Source organism: Homo sapiens, chromosome 9 (assembly GCF_000001405.40).
Source record: "Homo sapiens chromosome 9, GRCh38.p14 Primary Assembly".
Classification (NCBI taxonomy): domain Eukaryota; kingdom Metazoa; phylum Chordata; class Mammalia; order Primates; family Hominidae; genus Homo; species Homo sapiens.
The window spans coordinates 134,936,301-134,961,328 of NC_000009.12; the positions used below are offsets into that span (position 1 = coordinate 134,936,301).

Here is a 25,028-nt window from a genome sequence, read left to right on the forward strand (position 1 = left end):
ACGCACCCACACACGTACACACACTGTCCCTGCCTGGGTTCTTTCTCTCCTTCTACAGAGGAGCGCTCTCTCAGAGGCAGAGAGAGCCCAGCCAGCCATGGTCACCATTAAGTCACCTCCATCATACTCTGTGAGTTAGGGGGGCAAGTGAGGATGTGATCCACCAATCCCCAACGAAGAATCCTAGGGAAGAATCTGATTGGCTAGTCACCTGCCAGTCATCACAGCCGAGGGAAAGGAGGGGTGGAGCAGCGACTCCACCAACTACAAAAGGTGAGGTGCTTATCAACCTTTATGAGGGAACAATGGGTGAAGACAATGACCAGGGTGCAGGCAGGCTGACCATCCCATCGGTTTGCCTGGAACTGTCCTAGTATTAGCAATGACAGTCCCATGTCCCCAGGGCAAACCAGGGTGGTTGGTCACTGAAGTTCAAGTCCCTCTAGACATTTCCAAACCTAATTAACAAGTTGGGGAAGCGAGCTGTAACCCGTTTCTCTAGCTCTTTATTTGTGTGATTTGGCCAGAAATTGCTTCAAGAGGAGACGTTCAAAAAGGAACAAAAAATCAGAACTGAAACAATGTCGGAGGGCACTTTGGGGTTTCTTCAGCAAAATGCAAATCCCTCCATTATCTTGTGGTTTAAACCAAAGCTGCCTTTTGGAAACTCCCGCTGATTCTCCAGCCTCATGGAGGGTGGCAGGTTCCTCTTTTAAGTGTTCCAGGCTAGGAGTTGCGTGGTTAACGCTGGGGTAATACACACTCTGTATTTGCTACCACAGCCCCCCACCCCTAGAAGTCTCCCAAGAGGAAATCGGTGGTGTGGTCATGCACAGCTCCTGTGCTCCTGATGGAGACTGTTGTGGATCCAGGGCCATCTAGACATCTAGGTATTTTCAGCTTTCTTCCCTTAGGACAAGAGGACCAAGGCCTGAGCAGCCCTGAATCGCTCCCATGATGGCCCAAACAGGCACGGAGGAGGGTGATTGGTCCCTGAGAATGTGGATGCCTGGAGCAGTTCACGGTACTGTCTCTGCCTCGTTCTGAGCCTGCACTGGGGCCTTGGGTCCCTGCAGAGCTGGTGGCCCACAGCTGGTAGCACTGTCCAGGTGCAGGTTTCAATCATCTTCCAGGTAAAGGACGTGCACGTGGCCTAACAATAGAAGCCGACCTTCAGTAAGAGCCACCTGGGATGGGGCAGGTCACCGGACCACCTTTCTTCACCTGTGTCCCATCTGCGGTGGGGAGGGGGGACTTCATTCTGCATTTTACATTTGAGGTAACTGAGGCAACCTGGAGGAGGTCACAGAGCTAACCATTAGTGGGAGAGCATCAGGCACATGAGGACCTGCAGCTTTGCAGGAGGAAGATCCTGATGCCCCCAAGCATCCTCACAGGCGCTCTCGGCTGGAGGTTCATCTTTCAAATCAGCCCTGCCTCCTCCAGTCAGCTCTGTCTGGTTTAGCTCAGCTAACAGGATGCGTCAGCTTACCTGAATAAAACACTTTACACCCCCACGTAAGGACCAATAAGCTTAACCTTTAGGGACAGGTTTGGTTTTTGTTTTGCCTCTTCCTGTCACAGGCTTCAGCTGCCACATGGATGAGGAAGTCAGGGAGGTAACTGACCAGACCAGCACACCTTCTCCCTGCCCCTGGCTGGCTAGCTGGGACCTTTCCCCCTCTGCCTCTCCAAACCTGAGGCTGAAAGGGGCCTATGGGGGTGTTCGGGAATCTGGGAGGTTGCCAAGCCCCATCCACCAAGGTGGGCCGGTTCTGTCCCTAAGTTGGAGCTCAGGACTGGCTTCAGCCAAGGCAGTGCCCAGAGCCTTTGAGAGACCCCAGGCTGGGGTCGGTGGGGTGGGCCTGGCTCTCTGGGGAAGGCTGCCATCAGGGAGCGTGGGCTGCCGCACACTCTCCTCCCGGTGTTGACAGTGACGGATGTGGTCAGGGCAGGACCCAGACAGGGAAGAGCTGAGGTTCCTGGTGGGTCAGTTTGGCTCTTCCCTGCTCTGCTCTGTGGCTGCAAATACAAACCTGGGGCCCAGCAGGGACAGGCATCCCCACCTGTCAAAGGCCTACGGACCCAGGGAGGGGGACGCCGTTCCTCACGGCCCTGGTGTCAGAAGCATGACCGGCCTGCTTTGTCAAGAGGCGGAGGAGGGCGGGATGCCTGCTGGGCATGTGGACTCTCAGCTTCCAAGCAGGTCCTGTTGCCCTCCTGCCCTCCAGGTGACAAAGCTGAGGCACTGTTGGGAGTAGCAGTCTGCCCGTCATCCCTGGCAGTGGGTCAACATGCAGCCTGGCTCTGGGACCTGGAATTGGACCTGGGTTATGCAGCTGGCCTGTGCAGGTGCCAGCCTCGCCTCTCTGGGCCTCCATCTCCTGAGCCACACAATGAGGACGAGGCCGGCTCTGCACTGAGAGCAAGGCCGACGGCAGAGGCCATGTGCCGCAGACCTGGACTCATCCCCTCACTATGCAGGCAGGCCCCAGCCCCTAGAAGCTCCTGGAACTTGGAACTCTGGGCAGAAGCCCTCAGAACAGAGCAGCCCAGTTCTGCCTCTTCCAGCTTCCCCAGGAGCCTGCTGCCTCGTCTGCAGTGGCAGGGAAGACCATGACGCCCCCCACACCCACATCCAGGCTGCCTTGCAATCCACACACCTGTCCATTTCACCTCCATCCACGTCCCTCTCCCCTGCGGCCACCACGCAGGCCCAGCCACCCCCACCCCTCTGCTGCTGCAGCCTGGAAGGTCGCTGCATGCTTCTCTATCCCGGGCAGTCCCGCACCGCTTGGGGAAGCTGGAAGAGTCCAGGTCTGCTGGCACCAGCCGTGAGATGGAGCATAAGGGGCATGTGGCACCCCTGAGCACAGACCCTCCTGGGCTGTCCTGTTACAGAGAGGGGCAGATCACCCTCCTCACAGCCTCCAGGCCCTCTGGGTCCAGCCGCGTTCCCTGCCCGACTCATTGTGTGAGTGCCAGGCACGTCCCCCTCCTGGGCACTCACCCTGCCACCCCCAGGCCTCCTAGGGCCAGAGTCTCTGCCCTGGACACGTGTATTTTCCTACTAACTGCCACTCATCCTTCTGTCTTGTCTGCCCCGGACAGTCATGCCTCTGCCATCTCCCCCTGGCAGGGCACGCTGCACCTTCTGAATCCCACCGTGGCCCTGGGAAAATTTCACTTGTCTCTCGGCACACCAAGGCCAGGCATTCAGGGATTGCATCACTTTCCTGAGCTATGTACCTGCAGCATCTGGCTCGGGGCTGGGTGTGTCACTGACCCACAACCACTGCTGAATGAATGATGAGTGGATGAGTGAGTGATGAGCGGATGAGTGAGTGATGAGCGGATAAGTGAATGAGCACAGGTGGGTCTCAGGAGGTCCTTCCAGCCCTAGAACTGACTCGGGGGCCTTGGTTAATGCCAGTGGGTGATTTTCTGACTCTAAAGGCAGATGTGGGGAGTGGAGACTCAGCCCTGAATGCATGCAGTGACCCAGCACTGAGAGAGGACGGTGGCTCTGGCGGGGTGGCCGCCTGCGAGATGCTCCCCGGGGCCTGCTGCGGAGATGAGTAAACATCAGAGTTTTGTGATGAGGGCTCTGCCAGGGGAAGCCCACGGTATCACGGAGAGAAGACAAGGGCATCCACCACAGGAGGATGGACAGGGTGGGCAGGTGTGGGCTTCGTCATCCATCATGGCCAGGGCTGGGAGTCCTCAGCGCTTCCAGCTCTGGAGACAGGCCCAGAACCCTGGAAAGAGGAGCTCCCATCAGCCCACAGGGGGCTGGGCCGGCCATCCAAGGCAGACATCCAGGGTCCTTCTATTTGAACCGATGGGTAGATGCTCAGCTGCTCCGGGGGCTGGTCCAGGCTCCATCCCAGTCCTGGCTGTCCATGCAGAACATGGTACCCAGGCCCCAGGACTAGCAGATAATCCTTCAAGAGGGTCCAGAAACGGTGTGCCGAGCACAGTTCTCCATGAGTCAGAGGCCTCTGGACATGAGCCTAAGGGGCCCACATTGAAATAGGACTCTCTAATCACAGCTGGGCACCAATCAGGCACCGGCTTCCATGGCTGAGGCCTGCTGGCTTCTCTCTCTCAGTGAACCGTGCTCCCGTCAGCCTCCGCGCGACATCCCGCAAGGCTGCAGCCACCTCTCGCTCTGCATCCAGGAGCAGGAGTGTCCGGGGTGGAGGCTCTGCTGCCCCATAGGCTGTGGGGCTGTCTGTGCCAGGAGGAAGGACCCCTACCCGCACCTGCTGTGTGCCTGCTCAGGGGTCGAGGCAGCTGCGCAGCTTACAAAGAGGACAGCACCCCCGTCTCAGGCTGCCAGGGCCTTCTGTGATCTCCTGTCCTTGGGCTCCTCTGCTGGCACCCTCCTGCTCCTCCTGAGCCGTCCTCGTGCCCTTGCCATCTTTCCTGGAAAGCCTTGCATCCATTCAGCACAGCTTCACAGCTTCACCCAGCCCGGGCCTCATGTGCCCCAGAAACACAGCCTTGAACACAACAGCGGGTTCCCTCTCAGGAGCTTCCCCACCTCCCCCTGGGTCAAGGAGAGGGAGACCAGCATTGGCGTGCACTGTGTCAGGTGGAGATCAATTGGAAGAAAAGCAAAGTGGGGTGGTGGTGGGCAGGGGACCGCAGGGGGTGCTATCTCAGAGGTTTCTGCAGGGCCGTCTGTGCAGAAGCCCATTGCTGTCGCTTGTAGCTCATCGTCCTTGTGGCAGCCCCATGCCAGTTCTGCAGGCCAAAGAACAAGGTTCAGAGAGGGTGAGCAGCTGGCAAGAGAGCACACAGCAGCTAGTGGCAGGAGCGGAGCCCAGTCTTCCCTCCAACCGAGCCCTTTCCTTCTCCTTAGCTTTGCCCACCGAAGCCCTTCCCATCTCCTTGCCTAGAGATGGTTAGGCGTGACGACTGTGTTCAGGATGACCCTGGCCAGGTGCAATAATTACAAGCCTAGGAAAAATGACAGAAAATAAACATTCCAAGATATTAGCAAGCTGGCGTGGCTTTCTCTTCTGCTTTACATTATTTTTTCCTTACTTTCCAAATTTTATGCGGTGAGAATTTATTACTTTCATTACCAGGTGCAAAAAATAGAAACAAACAAAAAACTCTGTCTGATCTTTCAGACTAGTTCGAATGTCTTCTTTTCTAGAACTGGGATGACCAGGACATTTGGGCGTGAAAGGGGCCCTACAAGCCTTAACAGATACTAAAGAACGTCAGACAAGCAGAATGAGGATGGCCCCAGGCAAGGTGGACCCCACCCCAGCTGCAGGGAACAGCAAGGCTGCAGGTCAGTGTTGAGTGGCCCTTTACAAAGGACTGTGACCCAGGCTGGGGGCAGTGGCTCACGCTTGTCATCCCAGCACTTTGGGAGGCTGGATCGCCTGAGGTCAGGAGTTCGAGACCAGCCTGGCCAACACGGTGAAACCCTGTCTCTACTAAAAATACAAAAATTAGCCGGGTGTGGTGGTGCACACTTGTAATCCCAGCTACTTGGGAGGCTGAGGCAGGAGACTAGCTTGAACCCAGGAGGCGGAGGTTGCAGTGAGCTGAGATTGCGCCACTGCACTCCAGCCTGGGCAAGAGTGAAACTCTGTCTCAAATAATAAAAACAAACAAAGAAACAAAAGCAAACACACACAAAACAAAGGGCCGTGACCCACATGGACCTGGGACAAGGCTTCGGCTAAGCAAGCCCAATGTCCAGTGGCTATGGCCTCAGGAAGGTCAGCAAGGCAAGTTCCCTATCCCTAAGACCGGGTCTTGAGACAGAAGCAGACAGTAGGCTCAACTCTCTGGAGGGCCCTGGCCAGGGCAACACAGGTCCACGTCCAGGCAAGGTCATGCTCCCTGCCCCGCTCTGCCCCTTGGAGCAGGCTGTCAGAGGGGCCAAGGACTCCTCTCAGCAGGCTCGGGAGGAAACAGGATCTCGAGTTCTATTTTTTAAATCACAAAATTAGGGCCATTTCTGTCTCTCCCTGGTCTGTCCCCTCCGAACCTGGGAGGCCCCTCTCCAGCAGAGGCTGCTTCTGTTCTCTCTCATTCCATAAAAACACTCCCGAGCCTTTCTGTTGCTGCAAAGAGAGCTTTGATTCTTTGCCGAGAATCTGCACCGCGGGCTCCAAATGGGAGCGTTTCTCCGGAGAGGAGCAGGAGGAGAATCATTTTGTCGACGGCAGGTAATTAAGTTGCCACGCAGAGAGGGAGCATGCGTTATACGATGATTAATCCCAGAGACGGCGAGGACATTTTTCATTTTCAAATCTCTCCTTGGTTGTTAATGAATCATCTCAGCTCCTGGGAGAGAAGTGCTGGTGCTCGCCCTAAGAGCAAGGGAAACTGAGTCGGCTGTGCCCACCGCCCCCGCCACACGGTGCAGAGTGGAAGCAGCCTCGGGAGGGCAAGTGCTGGGAGACCATGGGCTTTCTCCCCGGGCATCTCGTCCATGTGGCTTCCTGTCTCCCCAGCCTCATCTGGGCAGGAATTCAGGAATCAATAAAAATGTTATTTTAAATAAAAAGAAAGCCACCCTGCTCTGCTTGGCACAGGCTGCCATTGACCGCCTTCTGCACCTGCTTTTGTTCTGTTTTTCTCAGGTACCTGCTCATTTCCAGCTCCCAGCCTCCCTCAGAACACAGACTGCCTTGCCATTTTCTTAGCGAGCGGTTTGCAGCAAAGTGCTATTTTGCTCTCGAACGCCTTCCTTTCCAATTGGGACAAACGGCTATGAATACGGCACACCCTGTTTTGCATTCAAACTGTTGGGAAAGTTTTGCGGCTGTAAATATCATGCTCTTGGTGCTCAAGACAGAATTATTATTACTTTTTCCTTAGTTCTTGGAACCAGTGATAAATTAAACATTTCTTTTGCCCCCCCTTGCAGCCGGCAGGCAATGTGGAGCTGATTGCTTTGCCTCTGTCCTGACCCATGTGCCCCATCGGGAGAGGAACAAGACGACAGTGACTTGCCAGGGGCACAGGCACATGGATGGGGAGCAGGTCTAAATGGGGGAGGGGGCACGTGCAGGGGGGGCTTTCCTGAGATAGGGCTTCTCTTTGGTGTTTTCCCTGCACAATCTTCCAATGATGTATAGAGTTTACCCTCAACGCTCAGAGGCTGACATTTGACATAGAGGGAAACTGAGGCACAATGGAGGTCTCCAGAAGATTCTGTCCCCACACACTGTTCTCTTTCCATCGTCTGCTCTGGGTCAGATCCTGGGAAGTGGTGTTTTTCCTCTGGGGCGGGCGCTGGGCGTGTGGAGGTGGGAAAGCCTCACTCCTGGGCTCTGCCAGGTGGAAACGGAGGGCGCTGTGCCTCTTGGACTAAAAGGGTGAGCCTGGCAGGTGCACTGGCCTGACTCGCGTTCCTGCTTCGAGGTCCTGAGCACCTCCTCGGAGTCTCAGTTTCCTCACCTGCAAATGATCTTGAAGATGTTCAAATGCCTTCTTCCCTCCCGAGGTCCTGAAAATGGCTGGGGAGGTCCGGGGGGGAGGATTACGTGAGGCACACGGGATCCGCCGTGACTCAGGCCACAGGGTCCGCTGGGCACCCCGCCCAGACTGCCCCCCACCAAGAGCTGCCATGCACAGGTGGGTGGTGGAGGCTCCAGCCCCGCTCAAGCCTGCAGGCACACTTTCTCATCGACGGACCCCAACACATCCCTGTGTGTGGGCAGGGCTGGCAGGGGATTCACGCCCACCTGCCCCGCAGCACCCCGCCGTTCTGCCTCCACCCTGTCTGCCTCGCTCAAGTGCACGATGGCCAGGTGGATGGATGACCCTCCCAACCTCACCTCCCAGGTTTCCCTGAGGGAACGCAGCCCCTACTGGATCCTACTGGACCTGGGTTCTGAGATGACCCTTCCACATGAAGAAAGAGAGTCCAGGGCTGGTGGGGGCATCGCAGCTTCCTGGGGCCCTGCAGGAGACGGAAGAAGCCAGGGTGCTCATCACACAGGCCTCCAGCTTTCTCCAGGGGCTGGACCTGGGGACCAGCCTGGGGTATGGGTTCCTTCCTCTCCCCATCCCCAGCCTGCCAGCCCCTCCCGGATGGAGGTGGGAGTAAGATGCCCCCCCGCTGGAGAGCCTTTTTCTGTAGCTGTGCAGGGGTGGGAGTAGGGGAGACAGGGCTTTGTCTAATAAGAGGAATCCATCAAGTTTGCTAAACCACTTTCCCTCTGGAGCCATGCGGCTCCTCTCCAGGGAGCTTGGCCTGGCCAGGCCTGCAAGCGGTGCCTCCTCCCAGCCCCACCCTGCCTTTTGTCTTTGTCTCTGACATCTGCGTTCCTTCTGAGTGTGCTTTGCTTCTTTCTGCTGCTCGATGGCTAATAGGATTGAGCGGGAAGGCGCCAGGAGAGCCGGCAGCCCGGCCTGGGAGGGGCTCTCACTCTTCCTCTGCCAGAAGCCTTATCGAGCGCAGGGTGTTTGACTTCAGAAACACATCCCCACGGCTTTCCTTTCCGCCTTCCTTCTGGGACTGATTTGTTTACTTCTTTCAGAGGTTCGCCGTCCCTCTTTCTGCAGGGGTTTGCTGGATCACAGGTCCCCAGTGCCCCGGACATAGTGTGTGAGGAATGCGGGTATGAGAGATACTAACATAGGCAAAGTCGGCTCATCTCATCCAACCTCACCACCCTGTGCATTGCAACCCCACAGTGCAATGTAAAGATGGGGAAACAGGCCCAGAGACTCAAGAGAAATGAAACGAGTGGAGATTGAGACTGAACTGGACCGGGATCCGGGCCCCACAGCTGGGCTTGTCCCGAGGCTGTGTGCTGCCCCCGGAGCTCCTTGGATGGAGAAGCGCTCCCTGCCCCTCCCTGCTCCATGCCTGGCTTAGACACACGGCGGCCCTGCTCATGCCTGAAATTCCACCCTTAGCCACCCTCCCCTGTTTGGCATTGCCCTCGCACCCCCTCTCGAGGGACACAGAAACCCCGCGTGTGGGTGTCCTCACTGCAGGTCTCCCTACCTGGCAGGCGGGGAATGTTTTGGGGCAGGTGGTGGGCAATGGAGGAGAAACAGTAAGCAGGGATTTCAGGAAGAAGAAAACGCCAGCAAGGTAAGCAGGTCAACAAAACCTCACCTGTGTCAGCTTGCACACCTTCTGTCACCAGAAAGCCTGACCTTAACCTTGCACTTGTCAGATCTGATCCTGGTCCTCAAAGAGCATGGAGACCCTCTTTATACAAATGGGAATACTGAGGTATGCAGTTCGAGAGGATTGACCGAGGCCATTTGGCTGGTTGAAGGTGGGTAAAGTCCTGGGTTCCTAATTTCTGCCAGGAGACCCTTGCTCCATTCTCTTCCCAGGGCAGAACCACACTTGGTCCTGGGGAAAGCCACCTGGAGAGCGGAGGGCAGAGGGTGGAGGGCAGAGGGCGGAGGGCAGAGGGCAGAGGGCAAAGGGCAGAGGGCAGAGGGTGGCGCGGAGGGTGGGGAAGCACCCCTGTCACCTCTGCCCATGCAGCCTACCCCGTCCCCAATTCACGAGACAGTTAACTTGGTTCTTGCCCTGAGCCAGGCCCTGGCCCGGAGCCTGGGGCCACAGGTGCCCTCAAATGCACATGGGACTCAGGCTCATCAGCAGTGGCCTCATGGCAGGAGGGTGGTCACTGTGGGCTGGGGGAGGCTGTGAGGCTCCTCTGGCAGCTCCACCTGCGAAAGCCAAGTCGAAGAGTGAGTTGAGTGTGTGCTGGCCCATCTGCCCCTTTCCCTCTCCGCTCAGGGCCCAGAGCCTCCCAAACAGGCAGCTGTGACTCTGATGAAGCCACCTGGTGCTGGGGGTGTGGGGTGGGGTTGGGGACAGCAGGGGAAGCCCACTACTTGGTAGTCCCAAATGTCACAGTCTGTGACCCATGAAGGATGGCTGGGCCACTCCTTGGGACAGGGTTACACCAGACACACACACAGATGTATTCACACCAGACACACACACACAGACACATTCACACCAGACACACAGACACATTAACACCAAAAACACACAGGTACATTCACACCAGACACACACACACAGACACATTCACACCAGACACACACAAAGACCATTCACAGCAGACACACACACAAAGACACATTCAGACCAGACACACACACAGACACATTCACACCAAAAACACACAGGCACATTCACACCACACACACACACAAAGACACATTTACACCAGATACACACAGACCATTCACTTCAGACAGACACACACACATTCACACCAGCCACACACAGACACATTCAAACCAGACACAGATACATTCACATCAGGCACACACACACAAAGACACATTCACACCAGACACAGACACAAACCATTCACACCAGACACATACACATTCACACCAGACACACACAAAGACCATTCACACCAGACACACACACATTCACACCAGACACACACAGACCATTCACACCAGACATACAGACTATTCACACCAGACACACACACATTCACACCAGACACACAGACACATTCACACCAGACACACACAAAGAGACATTTACACCAGATACACACACACAGACCATTCACTTTAGACAGAGACCATTCACACCAGACACACACACATTCACACCAGACACACACAGACCATTCACACCAGACACACACACATTCACACCAGTAACACACACAGACACATTCACACCAGACACACACAAAGATACATTTACACCAGATACACACACAGACCATTCACTTCAGACAGACACAGATACATTCACCCCAGACACACACACAAAGACACATTCACACAGACACAGGCAAAGACACATTCACACCAGACACACACACAGACACAGGCACACCCCTGCACACAGCCACTGTGCTCATGCATAGCCGGGTACACCTGCTTGCACACTCACACTCGCTCACCCCCACACCCCCCCCCCCGCTTCCTCACCCACTTTCTCTCCTGGTCCTGCAGTGCTTGTTCCCACTAGGTCCCTGGGGGGCCAGGGAGAGCCAGCCAGGCCCGCCACCATTCTCTCCCCGCAGAGCGATGCTGCGTGTCCAGAGCAGCGGGTGTGGGAGGCAGAGCCTGGAGCTCCCAGAGCCGGCGGCCCACGGCCTCGCCTCCAGCCAGGAGGGTGCGGAATTCTCCCCCACCCAGCAGAGGCTCTGGCCATCTGTCTCCAAGGATGCGGGGGAGCGGACCGGCTGTGCCGCTCTAGGGCTGCTCCGCCTGACAGACAGCAGTGTCGACCACCCATGTTTGCTGCACAGACTCTAGCTTCCACACCCCTCCCCACCCCAGCAGCCTGGGGAAGGAAGGCTGGAGGTCCCTGCATGACGGGTGAGGAGAGAGGACAGGAGCCCGGTGCTCTGAACACCGCCCCAGCCCAGCTGCACGTCAGGACCCCGCACTGGCCTCTTACATTGAGAAGCCAAGACCCACCCAAAACCCAGCTATCAAAGTCTCTGGGGACAGCACCAGCAGGGCAGAGGGCGTTGGTTCCCTTAGAATGTGCTAGAAGGCTCATCCCTGCAGGAGGTGCCCCTGCAGGCATCCTTGCCCCCACACTGCCTGGTGCTGCCCACCTGCTCACTTGCAGGTGACCCTAGTTTCTCAGTGGCTCGGCAGCCTCGCGGGCTGTTGTAACACTGACACCACGTCTGTGAGATCATTGGCTTGGAAGATTCAGCTCAGAATTGGATAGAAGGGCCCTGCCCTGCCAGGCACAGCTGCCGGCCCTTGTCACCTGCAGCTGCATGAGAAACTAAGGCTCAAACCAAATCCTTCTGGACAGAAAAGCAGGTCCCCCTCCACTACCCCTTCGTCTGGGCTCTCGGTCAGCGGGGTCAGGGTGGCCGGGACAGTCACTCTCATTTCCAGAGGAGGCGAGAGGCAGATGAAGGCCATGGACAGCAAGCCATGGGGCCACAGCACAGCCTCAGGTCGTTGCTGACACACCTGCGCCTCCCACAGCCCTCCCCAGGAAAGCCGCGGCAGAGCTCACCCCACTCCCAGGGTGCTCACCTGGGACCTCCTCACCTCTGCACCTGCCCTGGGTATCCTCAGCCGTGACCCTGGCCTGGCAGTGCCGGCGGACAGGTTGCAACCAGCCCAGCTCCCCAGGGGTGAGAGGGGCCCATCACCGGCCACCCACAGGCATCCCTGGGTCTGCTTTTTGGAGCAGTGTCCGGGGTTCCCTTCATATCCTTTATATCTATGTGAACCTGACCGGCACACTCACTCCAGGCCCAGGTGTTCTGTAAACACTGAACACCATGCTGTTAACCAAGGTTACGTTAAAAAGTGACTATGTGGCCAGGAAATAGATTTTGTATAGTTATGTGCTGTTAGGATAGATACGGGTTTTCGTCTGCGGCTCCTGGCTTATAACTCCCATAGCACTTGTTCCCATTTGCGTTAGAATGTTGGGGGTGTTGAGCCTCATGGGCAGCCTCTGCCTTCTCCTGCCCTCCTTTCACCTGCCCCAAGGCGGCACCCTAACTTTCTCCTGCCTTTCGGATTGTGGGTCTTAAGACCCTCCCATGAGAGGGTCCCATCCTATGCCATGGGGGAAGGAATGCTGACATCATGAAGCTTCCATAAAATCCCAAGAGGACTCGGTTCAGTGCGGTTCCTGGAGTGTGGCGCGCCCAGCAAGGATGTGGGAGCTCTGCGTCCCTTCCTCCCACTTCGGTCTACGCATCTCTTCATCTGCAATATTCTTTTTCATTAATCTATAAATGTGTTTGCCTGAGCTCTGCGAGCTGCTCCAGCAAATTAATAGAATTGGAAAGAGGGGGTCATGGGAATGCCAACCTGAAGGCGGCCAGTCAGAAGTTCCAGGGGCCCAGACTTGCGGCTGGTGTGTGTAGGGGCAGCCTTGGCGGGGGAGCATCACAGAAGTCTTCTCCTGTGTTGATGATTATTGAGGTGTGAGAGTAGAGGAGAAACACAGTTCAGGTGAGAGGCTTCCCTGCACAAGTTACCAACCATATGACCTGGCACAACTTTCCCAACCTGTGCCCCTTCCTCGCCTACTGGGGGGTAATGAGATCAATGCCGTAGCCTGAGCAAGAGCCCAGAACGGGGCTGGGTGGGTGGGCAAACCTCGAGAAACGTGAGCTCGTATGTGAGGCATATGACAGGCCGAACAGTGTGCCATGTCCGTGGTGCCATGCCCCAGCGTGGCTTTGAGCGCAGTGACTCTCTTAGATTTCTGATTGTAAAGGCCCTGTGTGCTGGGTAAAGAGTTTGGAGAAATGCAGAAAATTTAAAGAACATGAAGAACTGCCCAGAAATAACAACTGTGAACGTTTTGGAGGCCTCTCGTCCTTTCCTGTGTACCTCGTGGCACAGCTACACTGTGCCCTGCCTGGGGTCCCAGAACATGACAGCATCCACTGCCACCCTGACTCATGCCTGTCCTCAGCTGGGCTCCTGCGCCAACCACAACCCCACTCCCCCCTGAATGACAGCCAGTCTGTCAGGATATTCCTCCTCCGCTCAGGGCAGCCCCACTGCCGAGTCCCCAGCATGCATTGACTTGGGTACTCCCTACCTTGAGTCAACCATTAGGCCCATCACGCTGATGCAGAGCAGGGAGCCCCAAAGTGGGGCTGGGCCCCCAAGGATTCTTTACTTCACCCAGGAGAGACTTCAAGGGCAAGCCCCTGGTGGGGTGGGGCTTTATTGACGAGGCAGTGTTGCAGCTCCGTGACTGTCCCTACAGAGCAGGACTACCCCACAGGCAGTGCGCTGAGAGGAGCAGCTCAGAGCAGTTGTGCAGTCACATCTATATCTACTTTTAATTACAAGCAGATTAAGGGGTGGTTTATGCAGAAATTTCTAGATCCTGGGGTTATTGCCATGGAAAGAGGAGGTAACGCCCAGGTGTTGCCATGGCAGCGGTCAACTCACACTGGTGGGCGTGTCTTATGGAAAGGTGCTTCCACCCCATCCCTGTTATAGCTGGTCCTCAATTTGGTCCAGCATCTGAGCCCCGCCTCTGGAGTAGAGTGCCACCTCTCCACTGCAATGTGGGTGGGGACAGATCCCCTGGGGCACCTAGCTGAAAGTCACATCCTGCCGGAAGAGCTAAGACCACACCTGTCTGTCTGATTTCTGAAGCTGGGCTCTCATCCCTTGGATCTCTGGCTCCCTTCTTGTCCTAGAGGCGAAGGGGAAGAGCTAAATATTTCGTGACCTTTAGGCCATACTTGTAGAGGGGTGTGCAGGCGGGAGGAACTGAGGCCAGGTTCCGACTCTGGCTGGAGGCCTACCCAGGCCCCTGAGGTTTCTCCAGGGTCAACCCCATGGCCCACTGGCAGCTGAGTCACACAGAGTGATTGCTGGTCATGCCCTTGATTGAGAACGATGCACTCAGAGCGTCCTCCGCTCATAAATAGCAGGAAGCAAAGTACATTACGAGAGCATATGGTACCTCTAGGCCATTTCTGCCTCTGGCCCCGTCACTGCCACAGTGGCTGAAACTCATCTTCTGTTCTGACAGGTTTCCCTAGAAACCCATCAATTTATAGTGTCTATAGCTGGCCTTTTGGAGGCCCCAGACCAAACTGTGTTAGAAAACAACAGCAACAACAAAACTCCTATTTCTCCAAATGGCCCTGGAAGATGCACCGGCTGTGCCCTCAAGACGCTGTGTGTGGGGCATCCGCCTCCCTGGGCGCGTGGAGCTGGCTGATGGCCAGGGTGTAAGGGTGCATACTGGGCAAGGACGGGCTGAGGCAGTTGGCAAGGTCTGCATCACCTCCACCCATCCGTGGTCCCTGGTCATGAAGGATACGCCCATCCATCCACCTTTCTGAAACTGTTGTCAACGCACTCTGAATTCAGGAATGCTCTCCTCTCTCTTCCTTCTCCCCTTGGCAGACTCAGGGCGGAAATGGTAGCTGACGTTTTCCCCAAGAGCGAGGACAAGGAATGACCAAAAGATCATCATCCCAGGGGCTTTGGGAATGTGGGCCCTGCTGCATTTCCTTCAGCAGAAGGGTTTCTTTCCTTCAGTTTCCATCAGCTTTCAGGGAGGACAAAGGTCCCTTTTGCTAACTGATCTCTGTCTCACCCTCTGCAAACCCATCCTATAGGCTGCAGTCATGGCCCCACTTGGGAGTCCGCCTCCTTTCTCTCACTCCTGACTTCCCAAAACTCTGGCTGGTTGTGTGCTCCAGGGAACTTTCTAGGGTGATGGCAATATGCCATAATTTGGAGTTTTAGGGTGGTAGTTACGTGGGTGCCTACAATTGTTAAAATTTACTAAATTAAGATCTGTGCATCATATTGTGTTAAATTGTATCTCAAACAGAAAAGGACGAGAGTGCACCTTGTGGAGGGCAAATCTGTGCCGCACCCCCCAGCCCCGCCGGTGCTCTGGGGTTGGCCTCAGCTCATGCCCTGCAAGTCCTCGCCTGCAGACGCAGCTTGCTTTGCTCAGCACGCTCATGCGTGTATGCCACGGGTCAGTTGAGATCTGGACCATGGGTAGGTACAGAATCTTTCTTGGTTATTGTGATGGTTTTAACAGCTTTGTTGAGCTGTAATCTGCCTACTATCGAATTTCCCCATTTAAAATACACAACTCAATGCTTTTTAGTAACTGTCTCCACGAGCTGTGCAACCATCAGCACAGTCTAATGTGAGAACATTTTCATTGTCCCTTCCCAAAGAAGGCCTGTATTAATTAGCAGTCATTCCCCGATCCCTCACCTCCTCTAGGTCTTACCTGACCCCAGGCCAGCACCAATCTCCTGTCTGTCTCTATGAATTTGCTGATTCTGGACATTTTGTATAAATGGAATCAGACAACGGATGCTCTTAGTGACTGGCTTCTCCACTTGGCAGAATGTGTTCAAGCCTCTTCCATGTTGCAGCACACAATTGTACTTCATCCTTTTTTGTTGCTGCATAATACTCCATGGTTGCTGAATACTATTCCATGGTATTACTTGTCAGTTGGTAGACATTTGGGTTGTTTCTACTTTTTGGCTGTTAAGATCTAATGCTGCTATGAAATTCATGTACAAGTTTTTATGTGAACATGTTTCCAGTTTTTGTGAGCATATACCTAGGGGTGCAATTGCTGGGTCATATGGTAACTGAATAATTAATCTTTTGATGAACTGCCAGGCTGTTTTCAAATCAACTGCATGATTTTACATCCCACCAGCAGCATATGAAAGTTCCAATTTCTCTACATCCTTGCCAACACTTGTTATTATCTGTCTTCATGACTACAGCCATGCTAATGGATGTGAAGTGGTATCTTACTGTGATTTTGATTTGCATTTCCCTGATGGCTAATGCAGCTGAGCATCTTTTCATGTGCTTATTGGCCAGTTGTGTATCTTCTTTGGAGAAATGTCTATTCAAGTCTTTTGCCCCTTTTTAAAAAATTGAGTTCTCTGTCTTTTAATTATTGCATAGTGAGTTCCTTATTATTATTATTATTATTATTATTATTCTTTTATTTTATTTTTATGAGATGGAGTCTCACTCTGTCACCAGGCTGGAGTGCAATGGCTTGATCTTGGCTCACTGCAACCTCCACCTCCCAGGTTCAAGCAATTCTCCTGCCTCAGCCTCCCAAATAGCTGGGACTGCAGGTGCACACCACCATGCCCAGCTAATTTTTGTATTTTTAGTAGAGACAGGGTTTCACCATGTTGGCCAGAATGGTCTCAATCTTGTCAAGATCAGGATCAGGTGATCCTCCTGCCTCGGCCTCCCAAAGTGCTGGGATTACAGGCATGAGCCACTGTGCCCAGCTGTGAGTTCTTTATTCTAGATACAAGTCACTTATCAGATGGATGATATATAACGATTTTCTCCCATTTTGTCAGTTGTCTTTTTAATTTATTGTGTCTTGAAGCACAAAAGCTTTTAATTTTAATGAAGTCTAATTCATCTGTCTTTTCTTTTGTTCCTTGAGCTTTTGATTTCATATCTAAGAAGCTGTTGAGTAACACAAGGTCACAAAGATTTATGCCTGTTTTTTTCTAAGAGCTTTTATAGTTTTAGCTCTTACATTTAAATCTTTGATCCATGTTTTTTTTTTTTTTTTTTTTTTTTTTTTTTTTTTTTTGAGACAGAGTCTTACTCTGTCACCCAGGCTGGAGTGCAGTGGCATGATCTTGGTTCACTGCAACCTTCACCTCCCTGGTTCAAAAGATTCTCCTGCCTCAGACTCCCAAGTAGCTGGGACTACAGGCACATGCCACCATGCCCAGATAAGTTTTGAATTTTTACTAGAGACAGAGTTTCGGCATGTTGGCCAGGCTGATCTTGAACTCCTGACCTTAGGTGATCTGCCCCCCTTGGCCTCCCAAAGTGCTGGGATTATAGGCATGAGCCACTGTGCCTGGCCTAATCTTTGATTCATTTGAATTAGTTTTTTATATGTGGATAATTTTTGAATATGCATATGGATATTCTGTTATTCCAACGCCATTTGTTGAAAAGGCTATTTTTCCCTATTGAATGGTCTTGGCACCCTTATCAAAAATCAATAGGCCATAGATGTGAGGGTTTATTGGTTTATTTCTGGACTCTCAGTTCTATTCCATTGATCCATATGTCTATTCTTATGCCAATAAACACTATCTTTATTGTTGCCTTATAGTGGGTTTTGAAATCAGGAAGTCTGAGTCCTTCAACTTTGTTCTATTCAAGAATATTTTGGCTGCTCTGGATCTCTTGAGTTTCTGTACTAATTTTATGATCAGCTTCTTTATTTCTACCAAAAAAGTCAGGCAGAATTTCGATAGGGATTACACCAAATCTGTAGGTAAATGTGGGGGCGTACCACCATCTTAACAACAGCAAGTCATGCCCTTCAAGAATGTGGGATATCTTTGTGTTTATCTAGGTCTTTAAACATTTCTGTTAACAACCTTTTGTAGCTTTCAGTGTGCAAGCCTTGGGCTTCTTTTGTTAAATTTATCCCTAGGTATATATGCAATTATAAGTGGAAATTTCTTTAAATTTCATTTTTGGCTTTTTCATCACAAGTGTGTAGAAATAAAATTGATTTTTGTATATTAATCTTATATCCTGCCACATTGCCGAACTTGTTTATTTGTTCTAAGAGTATTTTTCATGGATTTCTTAGGAAGATCATTTCATTTGCAAATTGAGATTGTTTTTCCTTTCCTATGTGGATATCTTTTCTTTTTCCTGACTAGGTTTTGCTAGAACCCTATTGTTGAATAGAAGTGGGGAGAAGGGACATCCTCGTCATGTTTCTGATCAGAGGTAGAAAGCTTTTTCAGTCCTTCTGAATTAAGTATGAAGTTAGCTGTGGGCATCACGAGCACTCTGAGTATTTTTAGACGGTGCCAAAGCAAAGCCCTCCTCCGTTCTCAGCAGACCCGTGAACAGCCATGAACCCCAGTGTCCTTTGCTTTCTCTTGTTCCTTCATGCTCGCCTTCCACCCTCCTCTGTGCTGACCCCTCCAGGCTGCAAATAAAACCCACCAGCTGCTTCCTATGCTACTGTCAATGCATCAGCTAAAGTTGGAATCTCAGCACCAAACCCGAGCCCTTTGTGCCTAAGGCCCCGTGGCACAATAACCTCCAACACAGTCGTTAGGGTGAGACCTTAGGAGTGAACAACCCCTATGCAAATGCCCAAAAATGTATTCAGATGTCACCTATGTTTGTACCTGTAGCTGTCACAAATCGTTTAGAAGTGTGCCATTGGGTGGACGGCTGGATGGATGAAGATAGGGGACGATTTCTGATTTAACAACCACCAAGTGTCAGGAGAGAGAAACACAGTCTGCGAGTAGCACTGACTCTGGCAGAGATTTTATAACAATTCATGCAAAGATTATTTATTCAATAAATATTTATTGAGCTCCTATTATGCACTTGGCACTGGGGAAAAACAATGAAGAAGACATAGAAATCCTGTCCTCTGGCACCTAAGCCTGGTGGGTTCAGGGAGATGCATTTGGTTGCCCTGCCAGGGCCTGGGCTTGAGGAGGCCAAGCCATCTCTCCTAGTCATCTGAGCCAGAACTTGGCAAACTTCTCCCCAGCTGAGTGAGTGTGTCCAGAAGACTTGCATTACCAGGGACCCCACCATGCAGCCATGGCTTAGAGTGCCCTGGAGTCTGAGTTCAGGTCCCGCAGTTCAGAGCAGAGGGAAGGCAGCTGGCAGAGTAAGGAAGTAAGGAGAATCCATGCTCACCCTTGTCTCCCACTATGTGACCTTGGGCCTGGGGCTGGCATGGCAGGTGCTACAGCCAGACAATAGAGGCTCCAAACCCAAGTTTCTGTCACTGTGGGAGCTACCATGTCAGAGGAAGGTGATGATTAATGCACAAATATGTATTTTCTCCATCAGTCTGGTCTTTAACCAGTCTCTAGATTCATAATACCCTATCCAGGACAGGGTTTTCAGATGGAGCATCAATAATGCAGGTGCACACACAAATTATGAATGAGTTTGATCCTGGAGCAGTGATAAGTGAGACTTTCTTGGAAGGCAGGGCTCAGCTGACAGCTGTGGGCCCTGCAGTGACTCCTATCTACACTCTGGAGGGCTCCGGAAACCTCTAGCTCTGCGCCCCCTCCTCTGATGCAGTCCACATTGCAGAATGGCAGGCTCTCCTGTCCCTCTGGCTCAGCTTGTCCCAGCTTGGCCAGTCAGCCAGGGGCTACCGGGTGCTTCTGTGCCATGGTAGCATCTCTCCTCCCCTTGGCCTTTGCTGTGGAAGGAGCTACCTGGAGGAGATTGTGGCCTGGGCCAGGGACATCTGTGCCATCACCCTGGCAGGAGGTGAGGAGGCAGTAAAAGGGCAGCCCAGACTGGCAAGAGAGGGGCTGCCCACTTCGGGGGCATCACACCTACAGGAGGCATGTCCTCCAGCACGTGGTCTTCACGCTGCCCCCCGACTTGGACCTCCTTTTAAACTGTACCACACTGGGAAGTCCTTCACCACGGTGGGGCTCACCCTCACCACTGGTCCATGGCAAGGTGGAATAATACTTCCTGAGCTCCTTTTCCCCTCCAACAACTTCAGAGAATGAACAAGAAAGAGTCTAGAAGATGCAGCTGGAGGTGCCATTTTTCCTGGCATGGTGTTAAAAATTTTAAATGGGGCTGCAGTAGCCTTTCCATCTGTGTGTGTCTCTAGCTGTGTGTTTATCTGTTCACGTGTGTTGTGTGTATGTGTGTGTCTCTGTGCACGTGTGTCTCTGGGTTTCTAGGTATGTATGTCCATGTGTATTCACGTGTGTGCATGTGTTTCTGTGTATTTGTGTGCATATGTATGTGTCGATGTGTGTGTGTATGTGTGTGTCTCTGTGCACGTGTGTCTCTGGGTTTCTAGGTATGTATGTCCATGTGTATTCATGTGTGTGCATGTGTTTCTGTGTATTTGTGTGCATATGTATGTGTCGATGTGTGTGTGTATGTGTGTGTCTATGTCCCTGTGTGTGTCTGTGTCTATTTCTGTGTATGTGTCTGTGTGTGTATCTGTGTCTGCATCTCTTTGTGTGTGTGTATCTCTCTGTATGTGTCTGTGTATATCTGTGTGTGTATCTCTGTGTGTATTTCGGTGTCCGTGTGCATGTGTGTCTGTGTGTGTTTCTGTGTGTGTCTGCATGTGTATCTCTGTTTGTATGTGTATTTCTGCGTGTCTGTGTGTATCTCTGTGTGTATTTGTGTGTATTTCTGTGTGTCTGTGTGCATGTGTGTCTGTGTGTCTTTCTGTGTGTGTCTGTGTCATGTTTGTGTGCATTTGTGTCTGTGTGTATTTCTGTGTGTGTTTGTGTCTGTGTGAATGTGTGTCTGTGTGCATTTGTGTCTGTGTGCATTTGTGTCTGTGTGTATTTCTGTGTGTCTGTGTGCATTTATGTCTGCGTGTATTACTGTGTGTGTCTGTGTCTATGTCATGTTTGTGTGCATTTGTGTCTGTATTTCTCTGTGTGTTTGTGTCTGTGTCATGTGTGTCTGTGTGCATTTGTGTCTGTGTGTATTTCTGTGTGTGTCTGTGTGTGTTTGTGCATGTGCACACATGGGTGCTCCAGCCACCGAGCCCAGCCCTCGGGGCACAGAACCCTCTGGGCACAGGGGCTTGGTCTCTGCTTCCGAAACGGCACCGCCAATGTCTGTGAGTTTCGTGGGTGTCCCTGTGTGATCCCCTCACTGGAAAGTCTGGCTGGCTACAGACATTGCTGCTATTCTCCTGGCAACTGCTGCAAACCACAAAGAGCTTCTTTCTTATCCTTTGGGAGCAGGGGAACAAGGCTTCACTATAAGGGGATTAGGTTTGTATTAGGCTTTGATCAGAGAGGCAGAACCACCAGGAAATGTGGCTGAGGGATTTATTGTAGGATTTGCCCATGTTTGATAAGTCAAAGAAGGCTCTTGCTTCTGTGCCTGGTGTGGCAGCCTAGGGTCAGAAGAGCAGGTGGTGGGGCAGGAGAGCTGCATGTCAGGTTGGGCAGCAGGAGCGCCCTGGAAACTGCCGGGTCGGATGTCCTCTGCAAGGCAGTCTCCCTGTTGCTGTCCCCAGCTTTAATTCTGGGATCCCACAGGAGAAGATGGGGCCCTTCATCAGGTGCTAAATGTCACACCTGTCCTGGGAGTTAAAGAACTCATGGAAGACTATGGCAGGAACAGGGCTGCTGTGGGTCCCCTGCTGCACACTGGCAAGGTGCCTGCCCACAGGTGACAGCATGCAGGGCTGCAACAGCTCCAACCTTCTGGGCACAAAAAGAACATGGCCACTGCTTCCCGCCTTCCCAATTCTGCACCATGCCTCTTGGGGCCAAACTGACCAGGGGCTATGTAGGAAAGGGCATTCTGGGCAGTACAGTTCTGCTTGGGTGGGCTGATGCAATAGAAACCCACCACGGTCTGCCCCTTGTCAACCTGGCACCATATATGACTCACTTAGACACACTTAATGCCTGAATAAAGACAACAGCAAAATCCTTGCTTATGCCTAGCATGAAGCATGATCCTCTGAACAACTGAAAACACACTCTGCCCAGAAGAGGATACAAAACCCCTTCCTCCACCCCTGGGTGACATCTCTTCCTCCTACAGCTAAGTCTCACACCCTTTCTGATATCCTGTGGCCTAAACGCCAAGTATATTTGTTATCTATTGCTCTATAAAAAATCACCCCAAAATCCAGAGGCCTAAAACAATAAATGTGCATGATCTCACCTCTTCTGTGGACAAGAGTCTGGGCATCGCTAAACTGGCTGCCTGTGGCTCACAGTTCCTCGCTAGGCCTCAGTGAAGCTTCCAGCCAAGGCAGTGATCTCATCTGAAGACTGGACTGGGATGGTATCATCTTCCACGCTTGCGTGCATGGCTGTTGGTTTGTGTCAGCAGCTTTCTGCCATGCAGGCCACTCTGTGGGGCTACTCATGATGTGGCAGCCTGCTTCTTTCAGAAAAAGAGCTGCAAAAGAGAGAGAAAGCAAGATACTGCATGCAAGATGGAAGTCATGGTCTTTTTGTGACTTAACCTCTAATCTTGGAAGTGATAACCCTTCGCTTTTGTTGTATTCTGTCCATTCTTTGGATTGAGGTACTATGTCCAGCCCACATTCCAGGGGAGGGGATTACACAGGGCCATAGATACAGAGAGGAGGGGTCATGGGCCCATCTTAGAGGCCGCCCAGCCTGCTGAGAGAGAAGGTCACTACTATCAATGCAACGTATGTTGGATGCAGAGAAATGGAAGAGGGAGGAGAAGTGTGGTTCACATCTACTGACAGATTCACAGCTAAATACGGAATAAGAACTTGTGACTGTTACACCTCATGTCTCTACCTGGTCATGCGGCCATAGCTGTCCCATAACTACCCTCCCTCGTGACTGTCCATAGTCCCTGTGCCCTAGCAAGGCCCTCGGAGGGTCGTGCTTCCTTGTTTGGTGGGGTGACCCAAATCTTCATTCCCAAAGGATCTGAACGTCTGAAACCTGCTACCATTTTGGGTCATTGTTGACCATTTCAATGTGGTTCATAATCATCCTGGAGAGAAGGCAGGTGCCTCGGGGCCCAGGTAGTGGGACTTCAGGAGCCTGTGTGCTGCCCTGGGGCCTCTGGGTAGAGTGTGGCCTGGCCTCAGGTGCCCTGGGGGGTCTTGGAGTTGGGTCAGTAGAGGGTCTGAGTCACAGCCACCCCGTCCTTCTGGCCCATCCTCCCAAGACCATCTCTGGAAGGTTTTCCCCTGGTGGGTGTCAGATGGGACATCCCTGAGGAAGACCTGGCTCCAGGTGGAGGCGCCCCACGCCACCTTGGTTGTGGCGGCTGCCAGTCCTGGCCACAGCCCCAACCCCTATGAGGCACCAGCATCCTCTTTGGTATCCACAGAGGTGGCAGGAATCTGTCCATCCACACCTTCATCCACTCATTAAGCAAATGCGCGCTGGGGCTGACTTCTCAAACTGTGAAAAAGCCACGTGGGGCTCTGCCGTGGTGGGGCTGCCACCCCAGGGGACAGGACAACCCACCCTTGAACACATACTATGTGGGTCCATTTCAAATTGCAACCAAGGCCCTGGACAAAACAAAGCGAGGTGGCTCCAGAGCATCACTGCCAGGAGGGGCCTCCTTCGATGGGGGCAGCAAGGTGCTCTCCAAGGACCCATGGATGGGCCTGAAGGAAGAGGTCTCAGGAATAAGCAAGCCACAGACACACCCTGCAGGCAGGAGGAGGACGGCATGAAGGCTGCAGGTGCAGGGCTCTGTGCTCAGCTGGATGGGGCTGAGGGAGGAGACCCATTCAGATGCTGGGGCCTGCTGGGTCGAAGGCCAGTCAGCTCCTCTTGCTCTCAGCCAGGCCAACCCTTGAGGGTCTCAGACTTCACTGTTCACCACTCCGCTACACACAGGTAGCCTGTGAAAGTCACTTCTCTAGATCCCCAGGGACGTACATCCCGCAACGCTAGCTTGGGCGGGACCTGAGTGCCAGCTGGGTGGCCAGAGGTGGGCGAATTTAAGGCAGATGGCAAAGCCATTCCCACCCCAGGGCCACTGGTCGGCACAGCTGGGCACAGCCCACCACCTGCCAGACCTTTCAGAGGGAATGCATCTCCCTCCAAGCCAGGTCCCAGCTGGGATCTTCCAGCTGAAGAGGTTTCCTTGGGCAGAAGCGAGAAGCGAATTGGAAGAAAGAGGCCCTGACCCTCCAGGAGGCTCCATTCTGCCTGTGGCCCTGAAAAAAGAGAGCAGGAAGGAGCAACTCTCACTTCTTCACAGCGACTTTGAGAAGTGGAAGACAGGGGCCGCTCCCCGGCTACAAACAAGAAGCCGATGGAAACCAACACCGTCCCCTCCAGCCTCATCTCCTCGCTCTTCAGAGTTTGCAGGGAGATGCATCACGAAGGCCCATGAAGCTGTAAAGATTAGTATTCCAACCCGGGCAGCAGGGTTTTAATTAGTCATTAGGCCCTTTCTGCAGAGCCATGCTGAACAGGCAAGGGCAGGGTGACCTTTCTCCGCCCAGCACTGTGGCAGCCTGTCTGCTTTGCAGGTGCACTTGGGACTCTGTCAAAACCGCTAAGAGGAGAGGACTGAGGCTGGGCCGGGAAGGAGGCCCTAGCCTCTCTGTTCCTGGGCATGGCCCCCACCACGGGGGCACTGCAGACCTTTGCTCCCATCTGGCTCTAGCTCACAGCTTGCACCCCTCATCCACAAGGGACACAGACAGTTGCTCACGTGATGGCTCTCCTAGCGAGCCCACGGGCAACGCCAGGAACAAGCCACCCAGGAGTTGAAGCACTTCCCTGGTGTGTGTGATGGGAGAGGGGAGGGAGCCGGCTTCCTGCAGCCAGTCCCCGCCGGATTCCAGGAAGGCGAGCGAACCCCTGCGGAAGGTCGGTTCTCAGCCAGGCATCTGGGACCCCCCTGCCAAGTTGCCCCTTCTTGGCCAAATGTCACCACATACCATAAAATCACAGAGAACCTTCCAGCTTGCCTGCCTTAGAAGCCAACCCTCCCAACCTCCTGGTTTCTCGAGGACAGTGAGGCCAAGAGCAGCTGCAACCAGGGGCGTGCAGAGGCCGGTGGCT

The 25,028-nt window shown here is 53.2% G+C and overlaps 3 long non-coding RNA genes across 3 annotated transcripts; 2 read left to right on the top strand and 1 right to left on the bottom strand.

Moving 5' to 3' along the window:
- Window positions 1-223: 223 nt before the first annotated feature.
- LOC105376314 (uncharacterized) lies at window positions 224-6,907 on the top strand. The gene is made up of 4 exons (NR_188683.1): window positions 224-273; window positions 915-1,133; window positions 5,168-5,308; window positions 6,615-6,907. It is a non-coding gene; the product is annotated as an uncharacterized LOC105376314 (long non-coding RNA).
- Window positions 490-9,398, bottom strand: LOC124902302 (uncharacterized). Its single transcript, XR_007061846.1, has 2 exons — window positions 9,107-9,398; window positions 490-4,965 (listed from the first exon to the last, which is right to left on the bottom strand). It is a non-coding gene; the product is annotated as an uncharacterized LOC124902302 (long non-coding RNA).
- Window positions 8,426-12,727, top strand: LOC105376313 (uncharacterized). Its single transcript, XR_930421.3, has 3 exons — window positions 8,426-9,082; window positions 9,168-9,272; window positions 11,016-12,727. It is a non-coding gene; the product is annotated as an uncharacterized LOC105376313 (long non-coding RNA).
- The last annotated feature ends 12,301 nt before the right edge of the window (window positions 12,728-25,028 follow it).